The sequence below is a fragment of the Homo sapiens genome, chromosome 2 (assembly GCF_000001405.40).
Source record: "Homo sapiens chromosome 2, GRCh38.p14 Primary Assembly".
Taxonomy (NCBI): domain Eukaryota; kingdom Metazoa; phylum Chordata; class Mammalia; order Primates; family Hominidae; genus Homo; species Homo sapiens.
This window is the reverse complement of record NC_000002.12, coordinates 172,279,908-172,293,267: the sequence shown is the minus strand read 5'-3', so window position 1 is coordinate 172,293,267 and position 13,360 is coordinate 172,279,908. Positions and strand designations below refer to the sequence as shown.

The following is a 13,360-nucleotide window of genomic DNA, read 5'->3' as shown; positions in this document are numbered from 1 at the left end:
TGAACAATTCAAGATTAAATACACTTTTACACTTTGGTTCAAGAGCCAGCACTGCAGTGTGGTAGGTCCCTCTCCTATGTCCTACAGATACAGTTCCTCTCTTCTGGAATCCCCACTCTCCACTATCAAGGGTGGGCCCCTAGCAGGTGCTCACACAAGATCCTGGCCCCTGGGTTTGTTGCTTGGTGCTGAAATGGATATCTGCCTCAAGTTGAGCCAATCTGATTCATCATCCTGGGAAGGTAGAACTTGAGCTGGAAGTTGCAGAGGTTGGGAGTGGAGTCCTAATAACAGCAAAGAACTAGAGCAAGTGTCTCAAACTCAGCAGCCTATAGGAGTCAGCTAGGCAAGCACGCCAGGCATAATAATAATAATAATAATAATAAACAGCACCACTGTGATTAAAAAAAAAATGTTGACTAACAGTAAGTCTCAGTGTTGTGGGGAGGTAATAGGGAGTGGTGGGGACTATGTCCATTTGGAGAGACATGCTTAGGCCAAAGAAGCTGCTACTCAGCTCCTGCCAGTTGTTGCCATGCAGGAAAGGAATCTGTGTTGCCATGTTGTCTGATTTTTTCTTTTTTCAAGAGAAACCAGAAATCTAGATTTTTATATGAAGGTCTCTGACTTTTAAAAGTGATCAACTAAATTTCAAAACTGTACAGCCCAAATAAATTATGTCTCTTGATAAAATATTGCCTAAGGGCCAATGATTTACAATCTATGCTTTTGAGAGAAGACATTTATATCTATCAGAGTCCTATCAGTAAACAAATTGCTTGCTCAGAGAGGAGCGTTTTTGTTTAGTTTTTTTAGAGGTGAGGTCTCGCTTTGTTGCCAAGCCTGGAGTGCAGTGGTGTGATCATAGCTCACAGGACAGGAGGGTTTTATAAAGGGATGATTTACAAAAGTGCAGTGCCAGTCTGGGACTATAGTAAAGTGAGTGTGCAATTGCCGCAAGGTAAAAAATTTTAAGGGGACACCAAAAATTTTAGTAATCAAGATAAATAATATTTCAATGTAATAATTTTTTAAAGTCAAAATTACTGTAAAAAAATCTATGATGAACAAAATATTAACATTTTAAACAAAGGATTAGTATTACTCATTGTACTTGTCTATTCTCACATTGCTATAAAGAAATACTTGAGACGATAATTTATAAAGAAAAGAGGTTTAATTGGCTCACAGTTCTGTGGGCTGTACAGGAAGCATGAGGCTGGCCTCTGTTCAACTTCTTGGGAGGCCTCAGGGAACTTTCAGTCATGGCGGAAGGTGAAGGGAGAGCGACGCACTTCACAGGACGAGTGCAGGAGGAAAAGAGAGGGGAGGTGCTATACACTTTTAAACAACCAGATCTCATAACTCACCCACTCACTGTCATGAGAACGGCAGTGAGGGGACGGTGCTAACCCATTCATGAGAACTCCGCCCCCATGACCAAATCACCTCCCACCAGGCCCCACCTCCAACACTTGGGATTACAATTGAACATGAGATTTGGGTGGGGACACTGATCCAAACCATATCACTGATACTTCCTTTTGCTTCAAGCTCCAACATAGCCCAGCATAGAACTAGTCAAGGTGTAGAGAAACCTCAAGGGATAGTACAGTACCCTGGGGGTGGGAAAAGCAGAGCTGTTACCACATCTAGGGCCAAAGGGATAAAACACAGGAGTGGTTACTAGAGCTTGGAAGGAGAAAGTCATGCCCAGAAGGCCATCTGCAGACAACCTGTGACTACTGGCCAAGGGACTTGACTAGCCCAAGGCATTACCCAAGGTAGGAGCCAAGGTAGGAGATGAACTGTTGGCCTCACTCCCCTTTCTTCCTCTGATCTCCTGACAAAATACATCACTGCCCAAACACAACCAGAAGTCAAAGCGCATAGGAGCCTATTGCTACAGTTCATAACGTCCATCAATACAGTCCATAGGAGCACCGAGCAGGAGAGAAAGAAAGAGAGTGGAGCTGGAGGGACAAATGGAAGAGACCCGATAAACGCCCAAAACTCCTACCCTGGTCCTCAGCCTCCTGGGGGCCTGGGACTTTAGTGATTCCTGGGATTCAGTGAGATTTCCCAGTATCCTCCCAATATAGTCCTTTTTCTGCTTAAGCTAACTGAAGTTGATTTCTGATATTTGCCACTCAAAAACTCTTACCTAACACACACAGCCTGAGTGGCTAATCTGTGGACCAGTCAAACCCCAAGTGAATTCTCCTAGTACTCGCCAGACCTGACCAGTCCCTGCTCACAAACACAGGTAATGAATCATGCAGGCCACCAACATTTAGTGACTGGAGTGACATAGCATTTTTTAACTGAATTAGTTAAGAAATCCATTGAAAAAGTGATTACTTATGGTTGTTATCAATAATAACATAATAAAGCTGGATCCAACAAAAAAAGTTTAAATGTATTAAAATGACACTGCTCCTAAATTTAGGTATTAGGTTACCATTTGAATGGTAAAAAAAAAAAAATCCATTTCATGGATTTTTTCCTTTGGGGAAGATACCATTGAATCCATTCTATTCAGCATCCATAGAATGTTTGTTTTCTTTTTAAGAGATAAGCTCTCACTATGTTGCCCAGGCTGTTCTTGGACTCCTGGGCTCAAGAGATCCTCCCACCTCAGCCTCCCAAGTAACTGGGACTACAGATGCCAAAACCACACCCAGCTCAGCATCTATAGAACTTTGACCAAGATACTTATTTAGATTTTTTAAAATAGTTTAAAAGTAGGAGATAATATGAGAAAGGCAGAAAATTTACAATGATTACTCAAAAAAGGAAAAAACAGGCAACACTGTAAGAACAAAATCTACTCTGAAAGTGAGTTTCACCAAAAGCCTTGCTTAGGCACTATTACAGGCAGAATTATGTCCCCCAAAGATTCATACATTGGGGTCTTAAACCTTAGTACCTCAAAATGTGACCTTTTTGAAGATAGGGTCTTCAAGAGTGAGCCCAAATCCAATATGACTGGTGTCCTTATAAGAAGAGGAAATTTGGACACCGATGGCATGCAGAAGAAAGATGATATGAAAAGACAGGGAAAGATGGTCATCTTCAAGCCAAGGAGAAAGGCCTGGAACACATCCTTCTCTTGTGGACCTTTAAAGGAACCAACCCTATTGACACGTTGATCTTGGATGCCTGGTCTTCAAAACTGTGCAAAAACAAATTTATATTATTTAAGCCACCTAGTCTGTGGTACTTTGTTATGGGAGCCCCAGTAAACTGATACCAGTGTCACAACAACAATAATAGCAAATACATATTGACATTGCTAAATGGACTCCCCAGTCCATTAAAGGTGTCCATTTCCAGCTGCTCTAAAATAAAGGAGTTGTGATTTATTTTGCTGGGTACTATGCCAGCACAACCCAGCACATAATTTAAACTCCTGGTTATCCTCTTTGCATAAGAGTTTGGACAAAACAAAGCTGTAATGAGTAGGGTCATGGACTTCTGTACCCTATTGGCTAACATATAGCCAATAAAGGAAAAATAGAGACTGGCTGCCCAGGCACTGCTTTAAATGCTTTATATATATTAATTCATTTAATATTTGTAACTCCTATGGAAGATAAGCACTATATATATCATCTCCATTTCATAGCTGAAGAAAGTGAGGCATCAAGAGGTTAAATAACTCACCTAATGTCACACATGAAATAAGTAAGAGAATTTGGATGATAAATCTCAATCTGAATCCAAATTCTATACCCCAAATCTGTGCTTATAACTGCTATACCTTGCTGCCTCTTGGGTGTAGATCTTTCCTGCAGAGGATGATTTTTTTCTCCCACCCCTAAGCTGTTATCAGCCAGACAAAATGGACAGTCAGGTTTCATGGGTGCATCCATACTCAAGTGTCCAAGCCCCTTTGATGCATCTGATACCCTCAGAGACATCGAAACTTGGTCTTATTTTAAAAATCATGGTGTTGGCCGGGTGTGATGGCTCACACCTGTAATCTCAGCACTTTAGGAGGCCGAGGTGGGCGGATCACCAGGTCAGGAGATTGAGACCATCCTGGCCAACGTGGTGAAACCCCATCTCTACTAAAACACAAAAAATTAGCCAGGCATGTTGGCGTGCGCCTGTAGTCCCAGCTACTCGGGAGGCTGAGGCAGGGGAATCCCTTGAACCCAGGAGGTGGAGGTTGCACTGAGCCGTGATCGCGCCACTGCACTCCAGCCTGGCAACAGAGCAAGATTCTGTCTCAAAAAAAAAAAAAAAATCATAGTGTAACTGCAAGATATGAGTGATTGAATCAACATTATCCCTCAAGGTAGGCACAAAATTGAGTCCAACATAATTTGATGGAGTTATACAGGTGTCATGCTGGTACCCTTGACCATCACAGTGCTGTTGGTCATACCCATTTATCCAGAGATGACTCCCAGGATGACTCAGTGGCAAGCAGTCTCTGAAACCCCTTTCCTGCTGCTTGCCAGTATCAACACCCATCGTCACCACCACCATTTGGCACAATGCCCAGAGGAGCTAGGTGTTGGGACAAAATAGTACCTGTCTCACAATGTTGTGAGACTTAGTGGGCCCTCAGTGTAAGTGTTAGTTCTTTTCCCCTTTACAACTAAGTGAAAAAGCCTTGCTCAATGCACATGAAAGTGTTGGTTATAAACTTGTGTTTGGGGATTATATTTTAATTTATTAAATTAAACCTCCTCTCATGACTTTTGCAGAGCTAATGACAAATTAGCCTGTGTGCACACAGACTGGAAAGATACAGACTTTGCCCAGTCTGTGTAGTCAGCATGCAGATGAGAGTGGGACGCTTGCTGCAGAAACACCTTCAGCTCAGCAGCTGCCTATAAGGGAAGAAAACTCAGGATGTATAAAAACAGAGAAGTGACATTCTCCCTGCAAAATCAGCATTCTAAAATGATGATCCTGTCTCATCCCAGTCCTGTTTTGGCCAGACTCCCCTGTCCATTAAAAGTGTCCATTTCCAGCTGCTCTAAAATAAAGGGGTTGTGATTTATTTTGCTGGGCACCGTGTCAGCACAGCCCAGTGCATGATTTAAAATCCTGGTTTTCCTCTTTGCACAAAAGAGTTTGGACAAAACAAAGCTGGGATGAGCAAGGTCATGGACTTCTCTACCCTACTGGCCAACATATAGGCGATAAAGGCAAAATAGAGACTGGCTGTCCAAAGCTTTGTGGACCGTGGGAAGTGATGTTGCCAAGGTGATGATTTGGAACCAGACCGGAGAAGCTGGTGCTAACAAGGACAGGAGACCCAAGGAACATTTCCTGAAAGGGAAGAGAGAAACTCAAAGGGAATTCACCAGCAGTTGGTAGGATTTCCATGTTTTGTCTCAAATATGTATTTCTAGCCTTCCTTATGTTGGAAAATTGTGTTCAGAACTCCGAACTCTGAACACAGTAGATTTATCACATCCTGACTGTCAGAGATAATTTAAAATCAGATGAGAGGGAAGGAAGGAAAATTGAGAGTCATGATTGTCATCCAATCCAAGCTCGGTAAAAACCATTTGATAATGGTCTATTTATAGAGACATGTAGGATGGTCATTAGGAACAGAGCCCAGGGATCAGGCCCCAGCTCTGATGGATTTTGTGAGAGACACTCACCAGTTTAGGAAAATCATTTAATCTATTGGTACTTCAAATTGGATCACCAATAAGAATGAGTAAGACCTGTATACATGTACCCTAAAACTTAAAGTATACATGAAAAAAAAGGTTCTAAAGCAAAAAAATAAAAATAAAGGTTGGATGCTAAATTAAACAAAAAAAAAGAATGAGTAAGACCTATGGAATTTTATATCAGAGGGAAAAAACAGGAAGAGTCCATACATTTAGTTTGAAATAGTCATTATTTCCTTTTGATTTAAAAATTAAACCACATTGTCAAGGAACAATAAATCAGCCTATTTATTTATTTATTTATGCCTAATTCATGTTGCCTACTGAGGATCAGTAGGTGTTCTGATTTCTGAGCTAATACTCTATCTGAATGAAAATTTGGGTTTTGCTCATGGAAAGCCAACTCCTGGCAGGCCTATACTTAACTCAGAACTCACCTCTGTGCCCCTCAAGTCATTTGCTTACTTCCCTTGTTATAGAAACAATGGAAGTTATTTCTTAGCAAGCGAGAAAAGTTCTGGAATATAAATTGTAGACTGTGGTTGCTATTAAGCCATGAACAGTTCGTCCTTTAGAAGGTAGAGGAAGGACATGGAGGAGAGGGAGAGCCAAGAGATCAGCCAAGAAGCACGGTCACTGCTCCAGTGTAAAATTGGGATCTAAAGAGTTTGAGAGTTCATTAGAATCACAGCATAGAATCTTTTGAGCTATATGCACACCTATGGTTTATACCACCAAAATGCCAAAAATCTTCTGCATAGTGCAAGCTGACTGAGTAAATGATTTAATGTGATTCTCACTCCACCTTGGGAAGTCAACAGATAAGGTACTGACAGTTATGTCCATTTCATGGGAGAGGAACAGATGCTCATACAGAACAGATAGTATCCAGGGGAGCTTTATTTCCAGGGAATGATTCTGCCTGTAAGGTTTTCCGGCCACTAAATAGTGGAGCCAGTACCTAATTCAGGCCCTCTGATTGTTAGCCTTGTTCCTTCAAACTGCAGGACATCACAACCACCACGCCCACCTTCCAAAATGAAAGTCTCTTTTCAAACATAAAAGCCACAATATGAGCTATGGCAGCCATTGAGAGGTACATCCTTTCCTCTGTGAAATTTCACTCAGGAACAGCCCTATAACATCACAAAATTTAGGAATGAAAATAATCTCTAGTCTAATATACTTGTTTTATGAACAGATAAGGAAACTGAGGCACAGAGGGGCTAAGTAACTTGTCTCAAAATCACACAGCTGCATTACTTGTTGCGTTGGTTAACTGAAATGTTAAGATCAGTTCAGTCATTCCACAGTTTACAAGAAATAATTAGAAGGCATCCCATTTACAGAATATAAACCTGATCAGCCGGGTGCGGTCGCTCACGCCTGTAATTCCAGCACTTTGGGAGGCTGAGGCGGGCAGATCACTTGAGGTTGGGATTTCCAGACCAGCCTGGCCAACATGGTCAAACCCCGTCTCTACTGAAATACAAAAATTAACCAGCCGTTGTGTTGGAGGGGCAGCTGAGGCATAAGAATCGCTTGAACCTGGGAGGAGGAGGTTGCAGTGAACCAAGATCATGCCACTGCGCTCCAGCCTGGGTGAAGAGTGAGACGAGAGAGAGAGAGACAGAGCGAGAGCGAGAGAATGAGAGAGAGAGAGCAAGGAAGGAAGGAAGGAAACTAAACCAAACAGTAGTTCAAAAAAAAGTTAAGTGATTTGCGGAGATCAAAAGGAAGGAAGGAAAGAAACAATAGTGCAAAACAAGTAATTTGCAGAGATCACAGAAGTGGAGGGACAGCAGGATTTGAAACCAGGCTGATCTGACTCCAAACTACCCGACCTCACCCACACCAACAGCATGTTGTGCCAGCAGCCTTTTGTGCCCCTGTGGAAGAGCAGGATAGGGGCACTGCACAGGTTTCATTCACTGGAAGGGAGAACTTCTTGCCCACAAATAAGCACCTTGGACTCAGCTAAATCCAGAGAACTCTTAGTCTCACCTAATCCAAAACTGCTAGATTTCAAATCCCAAAGGACTCATTTTGCCTCTCAGCAGGCCCAGCACAGACACGTAGCCCTGACAGTTTGCACTGAGGATTCCAGATTCCAGAATGGAGCCCAGCTGTGCAAAGCCACTGAAGCTGTGACTGGCAGCCGCACTCACTGACCTTCTCAAAGGCCTCTGTGCTCCCAGGCCTGGAAGAGCATTATTTTAGGGATAATGGCTGACAGCTGCTGCAGCCTCGTGGGTGCCCAGCCCCTGTCCACCACATCCTTAGGAATCTTGGTGGTTCCAGGCTTTCTGGCCCAGAGTAACCAGCTACTGGAATCCTGGAGTTACTTCATTAAACTGGTTTCAAGTTACATGCTTTCTTTTATAGGACTGGGGGGAAATGAAACCTGCCAGCCTATTGTCTGTGCTGTACATAACCACTTCTTTCTTGGTGAAATTTCTCCCAGCTCCTGTGTCCCCATCCTGAGTGCAGTAGGGAAGTAGCAAAAGAATTGGTTTTGCCAAATAAAGTTTAAAATGTTGGCCAAGACCAGTGTCGTGCCCCTGTTGCCTCAGCAACCAAGCTGAGGCAGGAGGATCGCTTGAGGCCAGGAGTTTGAAGCCAGTCTAGACAATAGAGCAGGACCCTGTCTCTACAAAATATTTATTAAAAAATTAGTGGCCATGGTGGTATGCACTGTAGTCCTAGCTACTCAGGAGGCTGGTGTAGGAGAATCACTTGAGCCCAGGAGTTCAAGGCTACAGTGAGCTATGATTGCACCGCTGCACTCCAGCCTGGGGAACAAAGTGAGACCCCATCCCATAAATAAAACAGTCTCTACTTTCTGAGTATTTTGTTCCCCACTGCACTCTTGCAGGCTGAGTGTTTCATCGAGTTCCACAGTGCCTTTGCATATCTTATGCATATCTAGAGGACAAGACACCATAAGAGAGTGCCTCCTGTTTTCAGTTTTTGTCATTATCATTAGCCTTCCAATGGTCAACTGCCAAATAGGCCACTTTGAAGTAGGTTTGCCCTCTTTCTCTCCTTTTTTAAACTCAGATGTGCATAGGTAGAATGGCTGAAATGACTCTTTAGAAGAATGTGTTCTTTCCATGCTAAATGCCTCAGATCTCAGCTAATCTTGCAGAGCTGGACAGGATCTTTGAACAGGTTAATGTAGTGGTTGGGAAAATCTCCCCCTGGGGAAATTCCTCAGTCCTCTGACAGCCAGCATCTGCGCAGGCGAGGGCACATACCCCTTTGGGGCAGTCTTGGAGTGTTCTCCTCCCTTGGTGGATTCACAGAGTGCAAGGGGTACCACAGAAGGAGCTGAAGGCTCCTGTCACTCTCCCATAAAACCCCTCCACCGATGCAGCATGGGGCATGACATCATTAGGGGAGAAGATGGGAACGGGATGATTTGGATTCAGGCAACTGGGGTCAAATCCCACCTCCACTGCTCACTCGGTAGGCAACATTAGTATATCCCTGAACCTCTCTGTGCCTCAGTTTACACATCTGTAAAACAGGAATAATAATACCTGCTGCACAATATGGCTATGGTTTTGTAAATGATACAGCACTATTATCCATAATAGTAGTAACCTTAAGGAGATGCTGAAGACTCTTTTCAGATTTGTCCCAGTGCTTACATCTACTACATTTAAGGGGAGTAGGTTTGAAGATAAATTTCATTATCCTTGTCATCACTGATACCTTCATGAGTCAAGCACCAGAAGTAGACTCGGCACCAGATGAAACATGGTCATCAAAATTATCCCTGAAAGGCCAGTTGGTCAAGATATTTCAGACATCAAAAATATGCCCCCCGGCCCCACCCCCGAGGCCTCAGCTGCATCACATTCCTTCACTTGGACCCGCCTGCAGACCACACAGTATCTCAGGGCAATTTCACACTCTCTCTACCGACTGCCTCTTGCTATCTGGATTGCACACTCAGGCAGCCTGATTCCTGTCTGGTCAACCACATAGAAACCAAGGGAATGAGAGCTAATGTAATTGGTTGAAGTCATTTCCAGAAATATGCTATTGGGGACATATCGAGAAGGTATCTGGGTTCTAAACAGGAAATCATAATAATCAGACTAATGCAGCATCCAAATTACTTCAGGGAAAACAATTGTTACAAAATCAAACTACAGACATACCAAGCTCCTCATCAGAAATAGAAAGAAGCTTCCTTTTTCATTACACCTCTTTTTTCCAGCAAATTTCTTGCTCATTCTAGAATGAATCTTGACTATTCACAATCCCTATCATTGTTCCTGAAATAACACCCTCATTAATTATGCCTACTCTGAAATACAGTTTAACCTGTTTTATAGTTAACAGCAGCCTTAACATACAGTCCCAAGTGAACCGTGTAGAGAGCCTCAGAATTACAAACGTAAAGTGACGGCAAAGGAAGAAAATATATATGCCTTCTAACTGACTCAGAAATGGGCTTCCCACACCCCCTGCAGTCATGTGCCACACAGTGACATCAGGCAACAACAGACTGCATGTATGATGGTGATGCCATAGGATTAGAATAGAGCTGGAAAATTCCTATCCCCTGATGACATATTGATGATCCTGACCCCGATGATTAAGCCCGGGCTAATGTGTGTGTAGTTGTCTTAGTTTTTAACAAAAAAGTTTAAAAGTAAAAATAATAATAATAAAATTTAATGAAAAAAATGTATAGAATAAGGATATAAAGAAAATATTTTTGCATAGCTGTATAATGCCTTTGTGTTTAAAGCTAAGTGTTATTCCAAAAGAAGTTAAAAACATTAAAAAGCTTATAAAGTGAAAAAGTTACAGTAAGCTAAGGTTAATTTATTATTGAAGAAAGAAGAGTTTTAAAATAAATTTAAGCCAGGCACAGTGGCTCACGCCTCTAATCCCAGCACTTTGGGAGGCCAAGGCAGGCGGATCACTTGAGGTCAAGAGTTTGAGACCAGCCTGGCCAACATGGTGAAAGCTCATTTCTACTAAAAATACAAAAATTAGCCAGGCATGGTGGTGGGCAACTGTAAGCCCAGCTACTAGGGAGGCTGAGGCAGGAGAATCACTTGAACCCAGGAGGCAGAGGTTGCAGTGAGCGAAGATCATGCCACTGCACTCCAGCCTGAATGACAGAGTGAGACTGTCTCAAAAAAAGTAAAATGAATTTAGTGTAGCCTGAGTGTGCTGTGTTTATAAAGTCTACAGTAATGTACAGTAATGTCCCAGGCCCTCACAATCACTCACCACTTACTCACTGACTCACCCAGAGCAACTTCCAGTCCTGTAAGCTCCACTTATGGTAAGTGTCCTTACAAGTATATCATTTTTTATCTTTTATACCATAACCTTCTCTATGTTTAGATACACAAATACTGATCATTGTGTTACAACTGCCTATGGTATATTCAGTACAGTAACATGCTGTACAGTTTTATAGCCTAGGAGCAATAGGCTATACCACACAGCCCAGGTGTATAGTAGGCAGTACCATCTAGAGCTATGCAAGTACACTCTATGATGTTTGCACAAAGAAATCGCCTGACAATGCACTTCATAGAACATATCTACATTGTTAAGTGACACACAGTTGCATTTCAGCACTCCATGCCCTACTTCTTTATATATATATTAATAGCTTCGAGGGAATGGGTAGTCATTTAGCATTAATAAGCAATGAAAAGTGGAATCTTTTTCTTGTTTCAGAAAGTGACAGTAAGCAGTCTAGAAAATGTGGACAAGATGGAGGAAAGGAAAGAGTGAAGGGAAGAAGGGAGAGTAGAAAGGAAAACCAAGATAACTTTCCTCATGTCCTGAATCTGATGAGCTCAGACTGTCTGGCACATGCCCTTCAGGTAGGTGATAGGGCAGTGTTGGGCTGATTCTGGGAAAACTCTCCTCTACAGAACTCAGGTGTCTTTAATACAGTGTAGTCCATTTTGTTCTTTTTTCTTCTGTTTCTTAGCGATGGGTTTGCCTTTTTAGGGGTTGGCTGGAAACGAGTACATTATCATCGACCACTGACAAAGCAACAGGAGGACATCTTCTGTCCCTGGGCACACGCTGGTTACCCATCAATCACTTTTTATTGACCTTGAACTAAGATCCATAAATTCAAAAACTGCAATTTAAAAATTTTATAGGCAAACTAATGGAATATCAACTTCTACAAGGCTGATTCTTCAATAACACACTTGAAGGACATAGTCCCCTGCCAGGGATGGAGCTCTGTTTGCTGATTTTTCACTAAGGGAAGGGAGGAAGGAACACTTAGTGAGCCTCCAGTGTGTGCCAGGCACCATATGGGGTGCTTTACATATATGATACCAAATCTAAGTTGCCACCAACTGTAACACGCCCAGCAGGAAAGCAAACCTACTGCCGATTAATTGAAAGATGCCATCCAGGGTGTATTTACTGGGAAGCTAAGAGAGTTTCAGCCTCAGGGCCCTTCATTTGCATGGGCCCTTCCAATGTTCTTGGAGAGGGGCCAGCAGTGTGTTCACGTGGCCATATATTTTTGTAAAATTTGCAAAAGATATTTTAACTGCAATCAATTAGACCACTGTCTCTTTCCACTCTGACTTCCCCTCTGTCACACTTCCCCTTATGTGGGTGGCACTGGAGTGGCTATGGGCAACTTGGGGATCCTATTAAAGGGGAAGTTGAGCTGGGGATACATTTAGTCTGGGTTCAGTGGGACGTTTGTATGTGGTCTGTGCAGTTAACTTACTGCTGGGCATGCTGGGATAGAAATGGCTTCACCGCTTCTCCCCTCCACCACACTAGCTCTCCTGGCAGTAAGAAGCTCCAGTGCAGGGCTCCAGGCTGTATCCAATATAAATACATCCCACCACACTCGCCAGCAGCATATGGCCTGGGCAGCAGAAAATAAACAAGGTGTGAAGTGTGTGAGCCAGAATTTGGTCTGTGGAAAATTTTCCCAAATCTCATAGTTCATATAGGAAAGAAACTTCATAGAGGTTTTCCCCAAATTTGACAAAAAAAACTCTCAAGATTTATATGACATTACCAAAAACAGTTGTGAAGCTGGAAAACACACATTTTACTGTTGATAGTAAAAAATAAATTTTCGTCAACCATTGAGAAGGAAGACTGAACTGTCTATTCTCTCTATAGAAAACAGACATAACGAATTCATTGTCATACAGCCCACTCCCCTCCAAAAATGCAGGGCAAAGAAGTATAACAGAAGTGGGCCAGGCAGTTAATTTTTACAAATATTATGGTATTTTATGTTGTTTGTGATTTATATCACCTTTTTAAAATTTGTGGTTTGTTGTGATTTTCCCATTTAAACAAATATTCATGTTCTTACCTAATTTTGCACGTATTATTTTCTCTTTTTTATAAAGGTCCCTGAATAATATAGAGTTCAGGCCCCATAAAACTGGGGTTGTCTAGACCCCTGGATGCCATCCCAATATCAGAGACCTTTCTAATGTATGGGTGGAAATAAGAACCTTAGACCTGATTAAATACATAGCAGGTATTATTTCCTTAATTCCACATAACAACACTGGGAGGCAGGTGTGTCATTTTACAGATGAGGAAACTGGGCTCAGGAAGTTGGAAATTTTCCCAAAATTACTGCCATGGCTACATTGGCAATATTCAAAACTTAAAGCCACAAAGTGAGGCCTGAACTTTTTGAGGAGCCCTAAAGTTCCTCTATCTCCACTGAA

General features: G+C 42.3%; 1 long non-coding RNA gene across 2 annotated transcripts in view; it reads right to left on the bottom strand.

Moving 5' to 3' along the window:
* LOC107985960 (uncharacterized) overlaps positions 1-13,360 on the bottom strand; it is a 119,748-nt gene that overhangs the window by 76,906 nt on the left and 29,482 nt on the right. The window contains exon 2 of one of the 2 annotated variants that reach the window (XR_001739773.3): positions 12,388-12,531. The exons of the other annotated variant lie outside the window; for it this stretch is intronic. This is a non-coding gene — a long non-coding RNA (uncharacterized LOC107985960). The remainder of the gene's footprint in view (positions 1-12,387; positions 12,532-13,360) is intronic. 2 annotated transcript variants of the gene reach the window in all.